The sequence below is a fragment of the Homo sapiens genome, chromosome 4 (assembly GCF_000001405.40).
Source record: "Homo sapiens chromosome 4, GRCh38.p14 Primary Assembly".
Lineage (NCBI taxonomy): Eukaryota > Metazoa > Chordata > Mammalia > Primates > Hominidae > Homo > Homo sapiens.
In genome coordinates, this window is record NC_000004.12 from 171,110,722 (window position 1) to 171,124,960 (window position 14,239).

The 14,239-nt window shown below is 34.5% G+C and overlaps 1 pseudogene; it reads left to right on the plus strand.

Annotated features, from left to right (window-relative positions):
• Positions 1-864: 864 nt before the first annotated feature.
• On the plus strand, positions 865-3,860 carry LOC101929135 (RWD domain-containing protein 2B-like; annotated as a pseudogene).
• Positions 3,861-14,239: the final 10,379 nt, after the last annotated feature.

The following is a 14,239-nucleotide window of genomic DNA, read 5'->3' on the forward strand; positions in this document are numbered from 1 at the left end:
TTCACCTCTCTAAATTAATTTGCTATATTACCTTCTATTGATCTTTTCTAATGCAAATATATTGCTGGCAAAATACACTGGAGATTTACTTGATCTCTTTATTGTTGTAGGACATGGCAATTAATTTTTTTATTGAGATTCCAATTAGCTTTCTGCTCTTACAATGTTTTACCTAAATCCTTCTTTAAACTTTCCCTAAGGTTACCGGAAAAACATCATCTAAGCATGACTGTATTAAAAGGTAGAAGTAAGGAATGCATTACTTATGTTGTGTACAAAATTGAGGTTACTCTAGGTTAAATGAATCTGATTCCTTGAAGAGATAAAGATGCTTTAAATCATGAAGAACTAATCAGAAAATTCTAATTGAAAAAGAGGACCACAGTAGTCTATTATAAAAGGGGAGAAAGTGTCAAATTAGCACAACAGAGCAGGGAAATCTGAAAGAAATTTTGCAGACTGTTGCCATCATGACCCTTGTAAAAGTGTTGTTAAAGAGAGAAAAACAAAGGAAAAAGCCCTAAGGAGGCGGACTTCATGATTAGGACCACCCAAGGAGAGTCTCTAACAAAAGAAAATTGAGTTCCATAATTGGAGGTGGTCTGCATGTGAAATTTTCAGATGTGCCTGCAGACACTAAGTGCAGAGTCTGAGTATCACCAAAGGGAAACTGAGAGAAAGGTTAGAGGATGATATTACAAACACCAGAACAGTGAGCTGATAGACAAGAGCTTTCATGTGTAGCTCCATGACCATCCTAGCTAGTACCAACCATTCAGGTTAAAAATTTAAAACTACATGAAAAAGCTATCCTCTTTCTACTACTGATCTACCTAGCATTTACTGACCCTGAGTAAGAGAAGGATGAGAGAGTGGCTAGAAAGTAAGATAAAGGTAGAACAATCAGAAAAGGTCCCTGGTATGAACAAATAAAACCCTACTACATTCAGTGAAACGGAATATTGCAACCCACTGAGGTCATTAGGCTGGATATGGGAAGAGTCTCAGTTTTTCAAACACCTCAATCTCTTAGCTCACAGGGCTTCAAAGACAGAAGGGAGAGAAGAGGTGTGGACTATGAAAGACCAAGGGGACTCCTTTTTCACACCTAAATCTCTACCCTGGTGTTCCAAATAACACAAAGTGAGAGACGGAAATTGGATTAAATTGTAACTTTGAATTCAGATTTCATTCATTTTATATTTCTAAATATACAAATACTAGGCAAGTGTTGTTTGTAGTGAAAGGCATTAAAGTTTATTATTTAAACATTTACTTTTGAAGAGGAAAAAATCTGATAAAATTTAGTTTCTGTGTTGCCAACAGCTCTTTAATGATTCCTTTACATCTCTTCTTCTCATATAAGGTATACAGAGGTTGTGGCAATACAAAAACTGGGTACTTTGAACCAGACTGCATATTAATCTTAGATATGATTCAAACATCAAAGAGTACCTTACAAAAACATTAGTATCTCACAGCAGTCAGGTATTTGCCACCATTGTCACTTAGGAATTAGGTAACACCATATTTCTATATGTGATCAATACATTTAGCTGATTTTTTGCATATTTCTAATTCATGCCAGTTTTATTTTAATCTTGAAAATTTTCTGAAGTGCTCAGATTCTTTCTTTTCTAAGTACGAGTAAACAATTTAATTTAGCATAGTTTCAGGCTGCCATATAACTCATGTAATATTTGTAGCTCTCTAAAACCGTTAAGCTGAGCTTAGTAATAAAAACATTCATCAGGAAAAAAGGATCTCACGCAATATTAGTAGTTTATGTGTCCCTGGAAAAGAGACGTTTTAATTTATGTATCTTTTCATTAGACAATATTTGAAGAGGAATTTAAATAGAAAATGTCATGACCTAGAAGATGACCTAGCTCTTCTTTTTTTCATCATATTTTTGGAAACCATTCCCATAATTCTCATTTCACTTTGGGTAGATATAATACAGCCCAGTGAGAGTTGTCTTATGAATTTGTTAAGTCATGGCTTTAGAAATAAATCATAAGTTCCCTGTATTTAGAGTTTGTAACAAGATCTCCTTAAAAACTTAAGCGTAATACATAGTACTAGAACTTGTGAAGACATCTTCATTTATTCTCATGGGAGCTTTCCGTTGCCACCCATGGGAGGATAGGGAAACTCAACATGTAGTATAAAAAGGTTTACCTGTATTGATGCCAGAGTCCTAAGAAAACGGAAAGAGAATTTGGTGCAATTTTATATGGTAAAGGTCTAAATCCAAAAAAAAAAAAAAAAAAAGAAAAAAAAGCTGATTGAACAGTCTCTGGTGGGTTACATTATTGATTATTGATTCAAAAGTAAATAAACTCAACCTAGTGTAATGCAAAGTGTTGTATGAGTAAGAAATTAAGTTGTTAACATTCTTGATAAAAGAGGAAATTAGTGATTGATAAATACTTATTTTCCTCAGTCCTCATTCTCATAGTAATTACTGTGGAATGAGATAGTGTGTCTCTCAACTTGAGAACCTTGCAATCCAGAAGTAAGACTACGTACAAACACAAAATACACACAAATGAAAACAAACATACATGATTTACTCTGCAGATTTAAGTATAATGCAATTTAGGCCACAAAAATAATTGGGCAGAAATATTTCAAGTAATTTTTTGTCCAGGAATGTACCTGGAATGGTTACATGTAGGAAATGGCATATAACATTTTTAAAAAAGGCAAAGAAATGATTTGAAGCAAAATGTTACACTTAGGAAAAATATTACTGATGATGTTTAGATTACAATAAAGGACAAAGATAATTTATTGCTTAAAACCCAATACTGAAGGATATTGAACCGTAAGGGTGACTAACATAGCTGACTAGGAAGAAGCATTAAAATCATGAATTAAGAATTTTTTGGAGGCAACTGGGAGTCACTCCAGAATTCCAAAAGAAGAATGACAGTTGATATATAAGCACTTACGTGCACAAGCCAAGAGGGTGCTATCACGCTTTTTCCCTAGGCCACCCTGCAGGAGCAGTTTATAAGTCTTGGGTTACAGTATCCTAGAATTTTGAGGCTCCCTCCCAATAAAAATTGAGCTCTCTGTGCAGCCAAGGGACTTGGGGTCCATCAGTAAGAGGACCATGTCTCAGGACTAAATAGAAAGCCAAAGGAAGGCATGAAGGAGGAAGGTCTACATGTAGTTCCGTTCAATAAACCTTCACAAGAGATTAGAAAGAATACCACAAAGACACTACTGACCTAAAGGTCTTTGATTTCACAGAGTAAAATCTTTTTGAGAAGATCGCTATTATTAAGTGGCTCAGGTGAACACAGATCTGACTGCATGCCTGCAAAAAAACTGTCACAGAGATGTCTCTATACTGAATGCCAGAGTGGGTTAGAGAACACGCCTCTGGCTATGTCAACAGAGATTATTCACCTTTCCCACAACGGTAGTACAATCAAGTCAGTCGATCTCATCTTCATGAGACTCTGGATCTACAGCCATCATTTCTAAAACAAATGCAAACGAAGGTATATTTTGGGGTGAGCAAAGGAGCTTTCTCTGTGTGGGGTATCATGTCTGGGAAACCTGACGTTGTTTGTGTAGAAGGCTCATAAAGTTCCTGTAAAGAATTCTGATCAAGACTCCGAAAATTTATCTGGAAGAGAATCTTAATTCGCCATCAAGAAGACATTCCTTTTTATGGTTCAAATGATGAAATGGACACTAAGGAAATTTTCCATTTTTGCAGAAAAAGTATTCTGTGTTAATGGAACCGGAGGAAACCACATGGCTTTGGTCAGCTGCATCAGTTCTTAAATGCCAGAGAATGTGCAGATGTTTTCCAAATGTTCTTTAATATGGAAGGACAATGAGCAGAAAAGTAGTTGAACATATCTTGTCATTGTTGACCTTTTGATTTTGTTTTCCCACTCTTTCTTGAAAGAGTGAGTAATTTTATTTTATTTTATTTTCATTCTAGAATGTGGGGGAAGGGGCAGGCAGGAAAAGTAGTATAACTGAAATGCACCTGTTACAAATATATCATGATTGAAAGCAGAACTGAATTTCAAATTATAACCCTAAAATTGATGTTAGACATTTCTCGACATATGAACTATGCATTTTGAAAGAGAATTAATTATCTATGAAGGTAATGTTGGTGGTCTAATTTGCCAGCCATTCCCACTCTGCTTCTCCCTTCCCTGCCTCCACTAAAGAATCTAGAAAAGCTAACTGCTCCTTTTGCACCCTCTGTTGCAACTATGAATGGCTTTGGGAACACAGCTTTGGCTTCAGGATTTCTGGGAAAACTTTTGCTTCCTCATTAAAGTTATATATGCAGCTAGGTCATCTCTTCTTCCTCTGTCTGCCATAAACACCGAAGTGATGTCTGAAGCTAGAGTAGTCCTTTTAACCAAAGGGAAGGAAGGGCTAGAGAATCACAAAGATGTCAGTTCCCCCATTGTTGAGCTGCTGATGGAACACCAGACCCTGCCTATCTCTGGACATCTTATTAAATCAACCAGTTTTATTTAATTTCTAGGCTTTTAAATAGAAGTTGAAAGCTAGTTATCAGAGTTTTACAAAGCTTTAGTATTCTATTTACCCCAGCCATCTGATATACAAACAAGTGAAGTTTTCCTTTTTTTTTTTTTTTTTGAGATCGAGTCTTGCTCTGTTGCCTAGGCTGGAGTACAGTGGCGTGATCTCGGCTCACTGCAAGCTCCACCTCCCGGGTTCACGCCATTCTCCTGACTCAGCCTCCCGAGTAGCTGGGACTACAGGCACGTGCCACCACGCCCAGCTATTTTTGTATTTTTAGTAGAGACAGGGTTTCACTGTGTTAGCCCGGATGGTCTCGATCTCCTGACCTCGTGATCCACCCGCCTCGGCCTCCCGAAGTTTTTCTTAAATAGAGTTTGCAGTTTGTCTCTGTTTCTGTGTACTCCTGCCTCTGCCCTTGCTCCTAGGCTTGCCTTGCCCATGCTGAGGCAAGTAGAGCTTGAACATTTTTAATAGGACTCCACAATTCGTCACATTAGTAATTTAGAAAATGTGTTTTTGAGGAATTGTATTTTGATACTCTTTTCATTCTGGAAATAGCTTTTTGTGCATTTATTTTTGCAGAAAGATCTAGCATCAAAAAAAGTCACTATCTGGTTTTTGGGGCCCTCCATAAATCAGTTCCAAAAGCATTTATCAACTATTTACCAACTGCCAGAAAAAACAAACAACCACTTATACCTGATAATTCTTATTACTGTATGTTGATGCTTTAGGAAATAAATAATAAAGATGCCATCTATAACTAAAAGTTTTAAGAGTACAAAAGGAAATAGTTTGAGACTGTATGACAAGAGAAGACTAAATATGAAGTTCCCTAATTGCTGGCTCAAACTTTTAATTGGATAGATACATTACATATCTAAAAGATACATACATATGTATATATCCCATCTAAAGTATGTAATAAAACATTGAATATAAAATATAAAAGAAAAGCTAAAAAATAATAATTTTATACTTTAGATAAAACTTAGAATTATAATGTGAAGATAAATTTGAGAAAGTATTCAGAATCTCCTCAGTTATTACAAATAATGACTATAAATGCTGATATCTCACCATACATTTTTGGTGGTGTGGGATCGTCAAAACAGTGAGATAACTATAGTAGAGCAGATATTATGAGGATTCCCAGGAGCACTAAATATTGTAACTCCATTTTGTATTTAGTCGCAAGCATTTATATTAAAACTTAAGGGTCTCTAATTAGAATACAATAAGAAAAGAACTATAATGTAAGAGAAAATCTTTGTACAAGATGGTTGTTGAGAAATCTCACTGTAACAAACATAATAAGGCTGTAAAAGTAGTCAAAATATGTATTTTTAAATTTGAAAGTATGCAGTTTGCAATTCTTCTGTAATAATCATAAAAGTATCTAGTATTATTGTTTTGTAATATTATAAAGTAAAAATTCCTTTGGGGAACTAGACACTTTATTTCATGGAATATACTAAAAATATTGTTTTGAAATTTCAATAAATGTTTTAACCGATGGACATGTAATTGGCTTGGGATTAAAACTATGAAATAATATACTTTTTTTTATGCCTTCATCTATAACTTGTTACAGACTTTTCAAATGTTTGACTACATTATACAATAAGTGAGAAGAGTTGCAATTATAAAAAGAAAATGCATTCTTTAAGAATGTTCTCTGTAATTAATAGGTGTATTATCTCTCAAATTTATGGTTTTAACATTTATGTTGAAAATTAATTTAAATATCTTTATCTTAAAAGTGTAATTTTTAAGACAGTATAAAAAATTACCTTCTAAGGAAGTTGTATATGAATCACATGTGTTACTTCTTTCAAAGTACATTCTACAATTATACAGTAATTCTCTGAGTGGGAATGGAATAAAGAAATAACTATATGTTGGTATTGGGTGACTTTTTGTTTTGGTTTGGTGATTTAAGTTGTTTTATTAAGTATATAAATTTCATATACCTTAAGTTTGGATAGCCATGTCTTAGGTCAAGAACTTCATATAATTTATTAGATATCAAAGCATGGGGAAAATTATAAAACTATAGAAACTAAAGATTTAAAACTATTTAAGAAGGAAAGAAAGTGGAAAGCCCAGAACAAAACTTATTTGTGCTTTCCTCTCTTAATGTTTTGACATATGTATTGAATCTGTTATCTGAAAAGAATAAACTCTTATTTTCTATTTTATCAACACATAATAGGAGAGAACCCTCCTTGAGACTATCTTGGATCAGAAGATTATATTTTGAGATCTAGAGTAAGTAATCAACACAGGACAGGCCATATGATTCATGACAAACAAAAGGTAATACAAGGAAGCACCAAAAATGCAAGTACGGCATAAGGCTAGAGACATGGTATTGACATCATACTAACAACTAGGCAAGACTGATGATTAAGCCAATTAAAATGTACATGTCCTCATTTCTTTTTCTTGACAAATGTTTATTGAGCATTTGCAATAGCTAGACATCTATGTGGATGTTACACATGCATTAGTAAGTACTTTACTTAATTTATGTGTATCTTGATCAAACCAATGAGCTTCCATAAGCTTATTTTAGGGGTATAGGTTAAATAAATTTGGAGCTTAACAAATCCATGTGACCAGCATAATGTAAAGATTGTAAAGGAAATCCATGCACTTGAGTACTGTTCTTGTCTTAATTAACCATATGAACTCTGAACCTTATCAGAGCTTAGTTATGACAAGGACATAACTTGCTTACCAACATTCTCATCTGGTAAGCAAGAGGGAGAAATGAAGGCTGTTTAGTGGCACTTGGCTGGAAAGACAGATGTGACATGGCTGTTACCAATCTACAAAGAGGGGTTTCCAGGGCTTTGCCTTCTCTGTCTCTGCCTCTGTCTAGGGTCTTCTGATACTCCACACTAGATATCTTGATCACATTGCTTCCTATTTCCTGAGACTTCCAGTCCCTCATAAAATAAAATCATCCAAGTCCTAGTTACTACAGGAAAATACAAAATGAGTCATGTAATTGTAATGCTTCTGCTGATTATAAAGTTCTGCAGTTTATTGAACAAACCACAACTCAAAAATCAAGCCACACCAAAGAAACACAAACAGGAAAAATAATAAAGTATTTTAGGAAGCAACTTAAGTTGTTTATGAGTTTCCAAGACACTAGTCACAGTATATGTTAGTATTAGATTTCAACAAAAAAAGGAGACTTACCAGAAAACTGCTGTAAAAGAGTAATCATTTCTATATGTTCTGGAGGATAATTAATCTGTCTTGGAGCTTTTATCCTCAATATTTTATTGTGAAAATTTTTATACATGGAGAAAAGTTGAAAAGATTTATGCAATAAAAACTCCATATACTCACCAGCCAGATTTTACCATGCTTTCTTATTATGTATCCACTTATTCTTATTATGTATCCATTACCCATCACCCTAGCCATTCATTACTCCTTATTTTTTGTTACATTTCAAATTTCAGACATCAATAGATTTCCTCCTAAATACTTCAGTACGCATACCATCACATAGTTTAGTATTTGTTTATAGTTTTTCTTTTGATATAAGGTTTATACACAATGAAATGGACAAATATTAACTGCTTATTCACTAAGTTAACAAATGCACCCACGTGTCTTAAAAGTTGTAATAAACAACTGAAGGAGGTAAATTTTACATTGTTAGTATTAGGAAAGAGACTAATACTAGTTAAAAAAAAAAAAGCTTAAGAAACAGCACCCCAAGATTCAAATTCTACCCAAGAAATAACTGTAAAGGAATATTCTTATATTTCTCTGAAACTATTTAATTAACATGACATAAAAGGAAAGTTACTGGGGAATAGGAGAATGGAATACTTGTGCTTATTGACCTGATTACCAAAAAGGCAGCAGTAATGAGGAGAGACATTGAAATACATGAGCTTCTCAAATTAAGAACAAAATGTTTTTCAACTTGCAAAATAAAATAACCTTTTGGAAAAAATCCTCCAGATAACACAGAATCATTCCTGAACTTCAAAACAGTTCAACTTTGCCAGAATTAGAAACTAAGTTACCAATGTGTGATATGTGTCTAAGGAGGATGATAAAAAACATTGAATTCTTTTAACTTTATAGTATAACTTGGAAGCAATTCAGAGTTTTCCATTAAGAAAATGAATTAAGTGATGCTATTACAATCTGAATTACCTTTATTTCATTATTTTATATTAGATATCAGCAATTTTAATGTTTTTAAGAAATGTTTGAAGAACTATGAAGAAAAAAATAAATTAATTATTCAACACGTACGCTATATGCTGTGATGAGACAGGAGCTAGTTAAAATCAGTAAATAATCCTATTCCAACAGGGAAGTTTGGAAGGCACATATTCATTTCTGGTCCATAGCAATTCTGAAATCTAACCAGAAGCATGTTGTCAGGTTCTTCTACTAAAGGGGCAGGGGATGTTTCTTTCTGATTGCTGGAAGTGCTTCCCTAAGTAGTTTTTCCTTTGTGGCCCTTGCCTCAACTTTTTGGACTTATTGGGCTTCCCTCTGAGATTCCATTTCTTTTCTGTTCAGAAATTACATATATTTGCAAATGAGCCACTTTCTCAGACTACATCCTGCCCAATGAAATTCTTCCTTTTGAGACTTCAGAGACCACTTCATTTTGAACAATTGCTGCTTTTTTCAGTCTATGCTGGAAGTTCTTGGCAGTACAACTCTGTTTAAAATTTTTAGTTTCCTGTAGTTCTTATGGTAGTTCAATTTATGACCCAAATATCATATTCTTAATTCATTTTGAAACAAATATCTCTAATTTGAGTGTGTTTAGAGACCCTTTTGTACAACTAGTAGGGTCTCAGAGACTTCCCAAAATCATTCTGAGGTCTTTAATAAAGAGATTTTATGGTCACACAATTGATTTGCCATGAGGTTATTATTTATTTATTAATTTTTGAGAATTTTTTCCTTGCTAAAAGTACTAGAGATGCTAGCAACTCCTAACTCCTCTACTTTTTCTCTAATTATTTCCTTAATTATAATCCCCAGTTGTAAACACTAATTTCTGTATTAATTGTATGTGTTTGCCTAAAGGCCACAGAGAAAAATCGAATTAGGAAGGAACTCACAGAAATCAGAAAGTAACATCCCTGTCCCTTGAGAAGAACCTGACAACATGCTCCTTGTTGGACTTCAGAATTGCTATGGACCAGAAACCGATGTGTGCCTTCCAATCCTTTCCCTTTGAATAGCTAATGTATTTGCTCGTATCTTTTCATACATGACTAAAAGAAGTTGATTGAGCCTTTTAATATTATCCCTAAAAGGCAAGGTCCACGTGTTCATTAGGTATGTTTTACAGCTTCCCAGTTACTGCAAATGATGTTTTGATAATTGCTTTTAAACTATATGAGACACCATTTTTCCAGTGTCTAACAGCAGTTTACTCATAGGTTTCGCAAGAACCATTATCCATTGTTTATTTTTCTTATCTTCACCAACTATTTCTTGTTTTTTCTCAGTGTCCATCGTCTTCCCAATTCCACAGACTATGCCGTATGTCTTAGATTTTTGTTATAGTTCCCAATTCTCGCCATTAATTTCTTTTTTTTATCTGTTCTGATGATCTTTGTCTTTTAATTGGTGTGTTTAGACCATTGATATTTAAAGTGGTTACAGATACAGTTGGATTAATATCAACCATATTTGTTACTGTTTTCTATCTGTTGCTCTTGTTTTTTGTTACTATTTTTGTCTTTCACTTTTTCTGCCTTTTGTAGTTTTAATTGAGCATTTTGTATGATTTCATTTTCTTACTCAACTAATCTAAGTCCACTTCCAAACAACATTATACTGTTTCACAGTTAGTGTGAGTCTCCTATAATAACAAAAAATCCTAATTCCTCCCTCCTGTCCCTTGTGTCATTGCTGTCATTAATTTTTCTTACACATAAATCTACATCAGTGTATATATATATGCACAAGCAGTAGAGACAGGGTTTCACCATGTTGGCCAGACTGGTCTTGAACTCCTGACCTCAGGTGATCTGCCCACTTTGGCTTCTAAGTGCTGGGATTACAGGTGTGAGCCACCGCAACCAGCCAAACTTTCAGTTTTCTTACTTTTAGTTGACCTAATAGACAATAGTTTGTCTAAAATAATAATAGCAATAACAGATTTTATCTCGCCATTAATTTCTGTAGTGATTATATGTTTCTGCCTTGAAAACTATTTCCAAACACAGAGATCTAAAACCAACACTTACTTAATTATAATTCTGAGGCTTCGCACTTTGATGGGGGTTCACATGAGATGCCTCGTTCTCCCAGGGTGTTGATTGGGCTCTTCATGTGTTTGGTTTTCTAACAGAATGATGATATAGTTGGAAGCACCAGAGCACTTCATCAGATGCCGTCATCTTCCAGGAGCCTATTTTTCACATAATAACGGAAGAATTTTCAGAAACAAGAGAGCAAGCACTTAAACCGTAAATACAAGGATTTTCAATTATTTGCTTGTCATACATGCTAATATCCCAGTGGCCAAGAAAAATCTCATGACCAAGCCCAGAGTCAACATGGAAGGGAACACAAGAACATGGATATAGGAGATGGGATTCATTGAGAACTATTAGCGTAACAAATTGCCACAGATAGCATTCAAACATGGCATAGGCCAAAGGCAGCAATTAATCATAAGATGCAAGTATATTATATTTATTTTAATAGGCAATAGATATACATGATTACCATGGTGTCTCAGGTTAAGTACAAATTTATAACTCTTTGATAATTTACTTCTTATTAAATTAGACCATCTCACAATCATCATGTTCCACAGTATTGATGACAACTTGCTTAGAAGCTTCAGTGATCAAGGAAGAAGGAGGTATTCTCCATACATTGGTAAGAAATATACGTGCCAGAAAGTAGAAAATAAACATTAGAAATATTCAGAGTTTCGTTATCTCATTGAATTTTGTGGAGGTACAAAGTCAACCCATTCTGTTAAAAGTTAAAGATGAATTTCTGCCAGTTATGATGGCTGCTACTAAGAAATAGTTACATCATTTTTTTTTTTCTGAGATAGAATTTCACTCTTGTTCCCTATGCTGGAGTGCAATGACGCGATCTTGGCTCACCGCAACCTCCGCCTCCCAGGTTCAAGCAATTCTCCTGCCTCAGCCTACCAAGTAGCTGGGATTAGAGACATGCATCATCACGCCCAGCTAATTTTTTTATTTTTAGTAGAGACGGGGTTTCTCCATATTGGTCAGGCTGGTCTTGAACTCCCAACCTCAGGTGATCTGCCGTCTTGGCCTCCCAAAGTGCTGGGATTATAGGCATGAGCCACTGTGCCCAGCCTGCTGGGACTTTTTAGATTTTTGATTTGACATTTACCATATTGATCATGTTGCTCCTCTACATCTACTGAGGAACCTGTCTGGCTGCCTGCTTCAAGTGGTTTCCAGAATGGAAGAATTCTGGCTTTTTCAATTGCAGGAGAAGCTGAACTATCACCTGAAATTTAGATTCAGTTCTCAGCAAATACTGTCTCAGATCATACTATCAGTGCAAGGGTTATAAGCATAATAGTGCCTGTCCTATGCCCCCATAGAAGAAACAGAATAGAGTGTTTTGCTGAAATGTAACATTCTCTTTGGCCAAAAAAAAAAAAAAAAAAAAAAAAAATTATTCAAACTTTGAAAAAACAGTTCTTTGCTGAGTCGTATAAGAAAGTAAGAAAGATCTGACTATAGTACACAGAGTGAAAACTTGAGCTCACCAGCCAAAAATGATGTAAATAATATCTTGTCTTTCAAGTCATACAGCTGTGTGTATCCTGTAGAATTCTATCACTATGTAAAAGTGGCATGATAAAGTTACAGGAGATCCTGACAGTAGAGTAACAGCACAAGAACATTGCATTTGCTGCTCATATTTGCATTATACCAATTTCTTCTTATAGCCTCAGAAAGTGCTTTATATGATGTTTGTCCAAAAAGAAGATATTCATGTCTCATGTAAGGATAGATATGCAAAAAAATTCTGCTACTAGTCAGAAGTAGAAGAGAATATCATTATCTAGGAGAAGCACTAAAGACAATTAGGGGAGGAAAATTATCCTGGCAGGCAGAACTGAATGCCTATAAAGTTGTTTACCATGCTTGGAAAGATATATGAACATAGATATATTTCTAGCTTTTTTATACTCAGTCACCAACAAACATCAGATTGCAGGATGTCGAGGAACTTGGAAGAAACAAGATTGAAAGATTGGTCACAAGGAGCCCTTAAATGGAGGTGTGTACAAGGCCCTCTCAGAATGCACCCAGACTTTGGCACTATTTCTAAGTTATGTGAATGCTTAACAAGAGATCCATCAAGAAGAAATGACTGCTCCAGTAAATAAAAAGATTTAGTTATTTATCATGCTAACAAATATACTTGGTTGCTCTATGCCAGAGCATGATGTTATCATGGATTCAGTATTTGTTTCTTCTGTTGGAAAATTAAGCAGTATGCAGGAATACAGGCCAGATCTGGCTTTTTTTGTGTGTGAAGAGGAACCCATGTTGTTGAGCTTATACATCATATCCATATCTACCAGTGTGGCCACTTCATTCATGAGCTCTTTGAGTGAATACTGTTATGGTTTCAACAAATGGCTCATGCAAATCCTTAGCGCAATTTACATTTTCTATTTTATTTTTAAATTGTTTCGCTAGGGGAGCACTTTGAACATAGACTAGACATTAGATTATATTGAGAAATTATTTTTTAAATTTGAATAGATAATAATGAAATTCTGGCTATACTAAAAAGAAAAAATATCTTAATTGTTAGAGATACGTACTGAATTATTTAAGTATAAAATAGTTTTCTTGAATTTGCCTAAAAATTCTCCAGCATAAAATAGACAAAAACAGAATTGGTTAAATTGCATTAATTTTTGCAACTTAGAAATAAATGCAAAGGGGAATAAATACTATTCTCTCTAGTTGTGGCTATGTATGAAAAAATATAAAATATATTTTTAAAAGGCTGGGTGTGGTAGCTCATGCCTGTAATCCCAACCCTTTAGGAGGCCAAGGGAGGAGCATTGCTTGAGGCCAGGAGCTTGAGACAAGCCTGAGCAATGTAGTGAGACCTCATCTCTGTACAAATGCTTAAAAAATTAGCTGGACATGGTGGTTCATGCATATAGTCAAAGATTCTTGGAAGGCTGAGGCAGGAGAATCACTTGAGCCCAGAAGTTTGGTATTGCAGTGACCAATGATATGCTACTGGCACTCCAGGTTGGGTAAGATTGAGACCTTATCTATAAAAAAAATTAAAAGAAAAGTACTCCATAAAATATAATAGTATAGTATGAGGATGTAAAACAACCATTTTATTTTGTTTTATCATTTTTTATTATAAATGGGCAATTTATAATTGTATATACTTATGGGGTAGAAAGTGATATTATGATTTATGAATATAACCTGGAATAATTAAATTGAGCTAATTAGCATATTCATCACCTCAAATACTTATCTTTTTTGTGATGAGAACATTTGAAATTTACTGTCATAGTAGTCCCTATGCAACCATTCTGTTTTTCACTTTCAGCCAAGTATTCAGTAAGTTATGGGAGGTATTCAACACTTTATTATAAAATAGGCTTTCTGTTAGATGGTTTTGTCCAATTGTAGGCTAATGTAATTGTTCT